General features: G+C 48.5%; 1 annotated feature.

Annotated features, from left to right (window-relative positions):
- Window positions 1177–2162: an enhancer, noted in NCBI's record as "H3K4me1 hESC enhancer chr13:112344803-112345788 (GRCh37/hg19 assembly coordinates)". NCBI's record gives its function as "activates a minimal SCP1, AML or CMV promoter by ChIP-STARR-seq in naive H9 embryonic stem cells {active_cell/tissue: H9 hESC(naive)}" and the evidence as "EXISTENCE:reporter gene assay evidence [ECO:0000049][PMID:30033119]".

Here is a 7309-nt window from a genome sequence, read left to right as displayed (position 1 = left end):
GATTTTGTGGAGTTCTTTGAGCAGTTCCAGCTGAGCCTTGGGCAGCACAGGTTTGAAGGGCCCACTTGTACTGGATTTTCTCCCCTCTTTGCCGCCCCAAGACAGTGCAGGGACCCCGCTGTGCCTCTTCCTCCTCAGCCCACTCCATGTGGAGATGGCAGGATGGAGGCCTGCAGGATGACCCGCTTCCACTTAATGAATAGTATATGTATTTTCCCTTCCTTAAGATTTTTTAAATAACACTTTTCCCCTCTGGCTTACTTTGTTGTAAGAATATGATATGTAATACATACAACATAATAAATATATGGTGACCAACTGTCTACATTACTGATAAGCCTTCCAGTCAGCAGTAGGCTATTAGTCAAGTTTTGGGGGAGTCAAAAGTTATGTGTGGATTTTTGACCCTTGTTCAAGGGTCAGCGGTGCTCAGTGACATTCTCTTGATGTTTAGAAACTGCTCAAGCTGCTTCTGCAGGCATTAGTGCCCCTAGAAGTGGAGTTTCTGTGGGACCATGGCAGACACTCAGGTGTCCAGGACTGGTTTGGTGCAGGGGGGATCCCCAGGCAGGCTGGCAGTCAGGCATTGCCAGGGGTCCCAGTGACAGTGGCTGGGAGAGGACCTGAGGACTCTAGGGCTTCTGGGAAAGCCGCATCCTCCGGGGAACAGCAGAGGACACGGTGGTCTAGCTGGTCTCCTCCTTAGGCCTCCCCCAGACCCCAGGCTGACTGCTGACGGAGCAGCCGCCCTTCCACCGGGACCACCTAGGGAATTTAGAGAGAGGCAGGGGGTGGATAGCATCTCCGGCCGAGGCTGCAGCCTGCAGCTCCTCCCACAGCCCCTCTCCTGTGCAACTGTGGCAGGTTTCTGGCATAGGCAGTGAACTAGAACTAGAGAGGTTGTGAAAGGGCCTCTGTGAGTGCCTGTGCTCTGCAAGGACAGACCCAAACGTCTCCACAGCTTGGCATACTCCAGGAGAACATGGTGTTTGCAGCTGGCAGGTAAACCTGGCCAGTGTTCATGCTGGTTAGGGCAGCGACTGGCCCTGCACAGCCAGACAGGGGTGATGTGAAGTGTGGAAGGAACCTTACCCAATTATTTAGATGTGTAAGTGTTGGAATGTTATTTCCTCTTTGATGAAAAATGTGAAATTTTTACCCTGTCACAGAACAAAGGGAACTGTGACTTCTGTTTCACCATTTGCATAGCTGATTTCGTGTACTTTTGACAGTTCTATCACGCTTCCGACAGTGACGATGTCCCCGCTAAGGGAAGGTGAGGGGGGAATTCCCTTGCTAATCCACACGAGCTCATCCCTTCATGCAGCCTAAAGAATGAGGTTGGAAGAACGTTTGGCCTTTGGTTTGGAAAATAGCTCCATAAATCTCTAATAAGACAATTTTTTAAGATAAAACAAAAACATCCTCATAAGTCATCTGCTTCACAATGTAAAACATTCAGGGTTGGGTTCCCTCAGAGAACATTCTAGCATCGGCCCAGGGGTCCCAGGGAATGCTGCTGAAAGGCGACTGTGCTGAGCCACACGGCAGCACCTGACGTCCCTCTGGGGGCAGGTGTTTGTGGCCAGGTGTTGCGTTATCCTGGGGACATCATGACACGCAGGGCATGGTCCCTGTTCTCACCAAGCTTGCCATCTATAGGAGAGCCAGACCACGTATGGCATCCAAGCACAGTCACACTCGGTAAAGTTCCGGGGAATCAGAGACAGGCAAGGGTGGAGGGAATCCGGAGGTCTCCTCTTTGGTCCCCACACCCTGGGGGGTCAGCCAGAGCTCCCCTCGAGGCCGCCCCTCCAGCATTCTGCCCTTTGTTTACCTACAGCCTTTCTGTTCATCGCTCACCAGCTCTGGGCCCACCCTACTAATGAACTGAGTGCTGAGACTGGGAGGCACACCGTGACCCCAGGCATTGCCCTCTGGGTCCAAGACTTCCCACACCCCCGTGGCTCCTGTAAGGGTGTGTCCAGGCCAGGCACAGCCAGCCAGCGTCTAAATCAAAAAGAGTGAACAACAGGGCAGGAGGCAGAAGAACGAAAGAGTCATACATCGTTTCTCCCAGGCCCCTTGCATTTTATACAATTCTGAGCAGCGTGTAAAAATCTACAGCCAAAACTAAAGGACAGGCTTTCTTGAAAGAGGAAAGGATGAAGAGTGTTCCAACATCAGGCTGCAGACTTATGCCACCTCTGTCTCCAGTGGGCAGCCTGGCAGCTCAGGGCAGCATCTCCAGCAGTCAGGCTCTAAAATGAGTCATTTCAAGTTTCATCTCCTTTAGAAACAAGAAGACAATAAAGAGATGTGACCACTATTACAGAAGTCTGTCCCTTCAGGAGAAAGTTCAACATGCTACCGCACACATTTCTGCCTCTCAGTGCAGACTGCCTTCTGCAAGCTGTGGTTTTCAGTTTCATGAGATTCACACAGGTTTGTCACGGTCTAAGATCAAACCAACCATCAAAATTCTCTAAACAGCTTTCCTTGCCAAAATTTTGATGTGAGCCAAAAGCCAGCAGCTTGCTGCCTTATGCTGTTTGAGAAATGTCTGCATGTGGCTGTCCAAACAGAATCAGCTCGTGCCCAGGCAGTCACATGCGCAGGCAGATGCCGTCCCCTCAGCGGCTTGAGTCTCCATTTCCCAGAGAGATGCTGTAGTAGGCCAACGTGCCCATTCATAGATGCTCTAGATGGTGACGGGCCGCTGGAGACAGGAGAGGATTTCATTTGTGCAGCCCATAACTTGCAGCCCAAATTTAATCAAATGCACAAGGACAGTGCCCCTTGAACAGGAGCACAGAGGGTCATTCTGGTAAAATGATCACACCATTAGATTGTAAAATGAGGTCCTTCAAAGCACTGTCATGGGCATTTTATTGCCTCAAGAGTAAAAATACGGTACTTTCTGGAGAAAAATTATAGCTGCCATTCCCAGGTTTTCTGTGGTAATTAACCCGGGTGCTGAGGTGACAGAGGGTTCCCTAATAACTCTATTGGTTCAGAAGGCGACATTTCCCCCATCTCTCCTGACAGTATCATCGGGATGTTGTCAATGCAAACAATACCGTTATCTAGCTTCTTTTTAAGTCACCTGATTAACTGGAGAAAATAGAAACAGAGAGAAAAGAGTGTGTCCTTGCACAGAGGTGGTAATGTCACCGAAAGGCCACAGGAATGTCCCGCCTTTGCCGGCAGCCTCGGGTCTCCCCCAGGCCACTTGGACCCTCCTCAGCCTGCAGGTGGCTGGCTCCCTGCTCAGCTCAGTCTCTGCCTGGCCACCGCCCAGGGACCCTTCCAGGCCTGGGACAGAAGCCACCTCCCCTAGGAAGCCCTGGCCAAGCTGTCCCAGGGGAAGGGCTGGGTCTCAGCTCACTGTTCACACAGCGCTGTGAGCTCAGGATCACACCCAGAAGTTGCCCAGGGAAAATCCCAGTGAAGCAACGGAAGGCAGGCAAGAGACCCTGGGATAGGTGTTTCTTCTGCCCACATCCAGCCTGCACTCCACGGCGGAAATGAGGGCATCTCACTGGAGCCGGGACCAGATCCTCTTACCTCAAGCAGGGCCTCTGGAGTATTTTTCTTAAAAAATGAATTCTGGACGACCACAAGGGTTAAAGTGCAGAGCATAGTAAATGCTTGTTAATGAAACAGTTGATGATAATGGTGATGATGCCTGATGTTCCTTCTGGGGCTCTGCGTGCCCGAGTTTGTGCTAAACGCTTCACCTGGACACCACTCAAGGCTTCAGCATGGCCTCCTTGGGGACCTAAGGGGGAAAGGGAATGCCAGACTCCAAGTTGGAAGTCTGGGAAAAATTTGAATTTTAAATCCTAAGGATTTTTTTTTCTCATAAAATATAGGGGAGGACATTATGTTTGTACATGTGTTTGCATGTAGGAGTGTGTATGTGTGTGTGTAAGCACATGTGTTTCTGTTTGTATGTGTGTGTGTGTGCATGTGTGTTTGTATTTATATGCATTTAACAGTGTGTGTGAGCGTATGTTTCTGTGTGTGTGCATGTGTGTATGTGTGTGTATGTGTGTGTGCATTTGTGTGTGTGAGTATATGTGTTTCTGTGTGTGTGCATGTGTGTATATGTGTGTGAGCATGTGTGTGTGTGAGTATATGTGTTTCTGTGTGTGTGCATGTGTTTGTATGTCTATGCATGTAGAACTATATTTGTGTGTAAGTGTATGTGTTTGTGTGTGTGTGTGTGTGTATGCACAAGTGTTTGTGTGGGGGCACACGCATGTAAGTATGTGCGCTATTTCTTTTGTTTCCCTGGCCTTCTGCTGCCTCAGTGTTGGAGAGGCAAGGCTAGAAGACTGCTTTTGGGAGAGTCAGGTATGCCTGCCTCTGGGCTAGCCTGTGGGGGATGGGTTCTGAGCCCCTGCAGGTGCTGCTGTAGATGACCAGGCCTTGGGCGGTAGCTTTATGTAGGACCCACTTGTTCCCCAAAGTCTCCAAGCAGGGCACTGCCAGTCCAGCACATAAAACATCCCAGTGTGGCCCCAGACAATCAATACCATCTGGTCCCCTCCCTTATCCCCAGGGGCAGGCTTGAGCTGGGGGTGTACAAGGTTTGAAAAGCAAACTGTTCTTCTGAACCCTCTGGGCTCATTATTCAATAGAACAGTGGTAACATAATGCATTTTCATTTACTTAGCCTTAAATATATGTAAATTAAAGGGTTTTCTTTTATTAAAAATAACACTGAAACTTACCACTGATGTGTTTTTGTTATTCTAAAAAGAAGCAGTACTAGAGGAAGGAGGCTCTAATGACATTTCACATTCAGATTTGTGTCTTGCTGAAGAAAGAGGGGCCTCCCGCCCCAGGGCTGAGCGCCCGCATAAAGCCCTGCCCAACAGCGCTGCCATCGGTGACTTTCATCCGAATGCATTCTCATTGTCTTAAGTTGTGATGGAGGCAACGGCGGGAATGGTGCACCATGGTTGGAAGCCTAATTGTAGCCAAGAAAGAAAAATAAATTGTTACTCTCCCCTAGGGGTCGTGGATTATTGGAGAAGCCGTGTTCAGTGTGGGGGAGGGGGGTGGTGCCCGAACTTCATTGCTTCAGGATCGCAGCAGCCTCCCCAGTGTCTTCTGGAAGAAAGGAGTGGATTCTAAGGGGAGCCCAGCGCCCCGTTCCGGAGACTCACAAAGCCCCTCTGCCAGCCTCCCTCGCCGAGTCTTTCCAATTCATCCCACACTCCTCCACCCGGCAATTCTTGCCCATACTCCCTCTGCGAACGTCTTGGCATCCAGGCCCCTTCGCCCACCCACCAAGGCCCTCCAAACCTGAGCCCACACCATTTCTTAGGAAACTCCTGCTCCCTTTCAGTAAGACTCCTTCATTCTAGGCACCTGAGACCAGGCTGAGCACTCTGGATTTGTGTGCTGAGGCTGCTGTGAGGAACTACTGCAAACTGGGTGGCTTAAAGTAGCAAATATTTAGAATCCCATAGTTCTGGAAGCCAGAGTCTGAAGTCAAGGTGCTGGCAGAGCCAGGCTGTCTCCAGAGCCTCACAGCTCCATAGTCCATGATATTTTCTGGCTTGCAGCTAAAAAACCCCCATTCTGCCTCCGTCATCACGTGCTGTCTTCCTTCCATGCATCTCTCCCGCCTCCTTATAAGGACACCAAGATCCAGCACTGTACGGAGGCTTCTCAGATAAATTCACTTTCTGTGGGCCCCCTCTTTCTGAATTGCGCTAACTCTTGCAGCTCTCACTCCTGTAAGGTTCAGGAATAAGTCTTGTGAGGCCCACCGCCAATGAATAACCCCTACACTGTTGCTGAGTTTCTTAGAAGAGACTGTCACATCTTCAGTTAGATCACAGCTCTTCAGAGATCATAGCTCTACATAGATCATAGGTCTTCATGGATCATAGCTCTACATAGACCATAGCCCTTCATGGATCATAGCTCTGCATAGACCATAGCCCTTCATGGATCATAGCTCTGCACAGACCATAGCCCTTCATGGATCATAGCTCTACATAGATCATAGGTCTTCATGGATCATAGCTCTACATAGACCATAGCCCTTCATGGATCATAGCTCTACATAGACCATAGTCCTTCATGGATCAGAGTTCTACATAGATCATAGGTCTTCAGAGATCATAGCTCTACATAGACCATAGCCCTTCATGGATCATAGTTCTACATAGATCATAGCCCTTCATGGATGATAGCCCTTCATGGATCACGGCTCTTCAGAGGTCATAGCTCTACATACATCATAGGTCTTCATAGATCACAGCTCTTCAGAGGTCACAGCTCTTCATGCATCATAGCTCTTCAGAGATCATAGCTCTTCATGTATCACGGCTCCTCATGGATCATAGTTCTTCATAGATCATAGTTCTTCAGAGATCATGGCTTTTCATAGGTCATAACTCTGTATAGACCATAGCTCTTCACGGATCATGGCTCTTCATGGATCACAGCTCGTCATAGATCACAGTTCTTCAGAGATCATGGCTTTTCATAGGTCATAACTCTATATAGACCATAGCTCTTCATGGATCATGGCTCTTCATGGATCACAGCTCTTCATAGATCACAGTTCTTCAGAGATCATGGCTTTTCATAGGTCATAACTCTACATAGATCATAGCTCTTCATGGATCTTGGCTCTTCAGAGATCATAGCTCTTCATGGATCATGGCTCTTCAGAGGTCATAGCTCTACATAGATCATAGGTCTTCATGGATCATGGCTCTTCAAGGATCATAGCTCTACATAGATCATAGCTCTTCATAGATCATAGTTCTTCAGAGATCATGGCTCTTCATAGGTCATAACTCTACATAGATCATAGCTCTTCATGGATCACGGCTCTTCAGAGATCATAGCTCTTCATGGATCATACCTCTTCATGGATCATAGCTCTTTAGATATCGTAGCTTTTCATGGGTGATAACTCTTCATAAATCCTGGCTCTTCATGGATGATAGCTATTCATAGATCATGCCTCTTCATGGATCATAGCTCTTTATGGATCATGGCTCTTCATGGATCATGGCTCTTCATGGATCATACCTCTATGTGTCTTACTTTTCTGTCTTCACTCTGGCATCATGCAAAGGTCCACAGTAATCAGCAGAAATTTAGAGGGACGAGGGGGTTCCTATATTTTAGTGCCATCCCAATGAGAGACTGTAGGACAAACTCAGGATGTTGCCTCTTGAGTTCAAGATAATCTCAGATGATCAAAAATCATCTCCAACCCCCCACATCATCTTGCCAATGAAGCAGCAAGCTCTGTGTATATGATGGGCCCAGA

This window comes from Homo sapiens, chromosome 13 (genome assembly GCF_000001405.40).
Source record: "Homo sapiens chromosome 13, GRCh38.p14 Primary Assembly".
NCBI classification, from domain to species: domain Eukaryota; kingdom Metazoa; phylum Chordata; class Mammalia; order Primates; family Hominidae; genus Homo; species Homo sapiens.
This window is presented reverse-complemented; position numbering and strand designations above follow the sequence as displayed.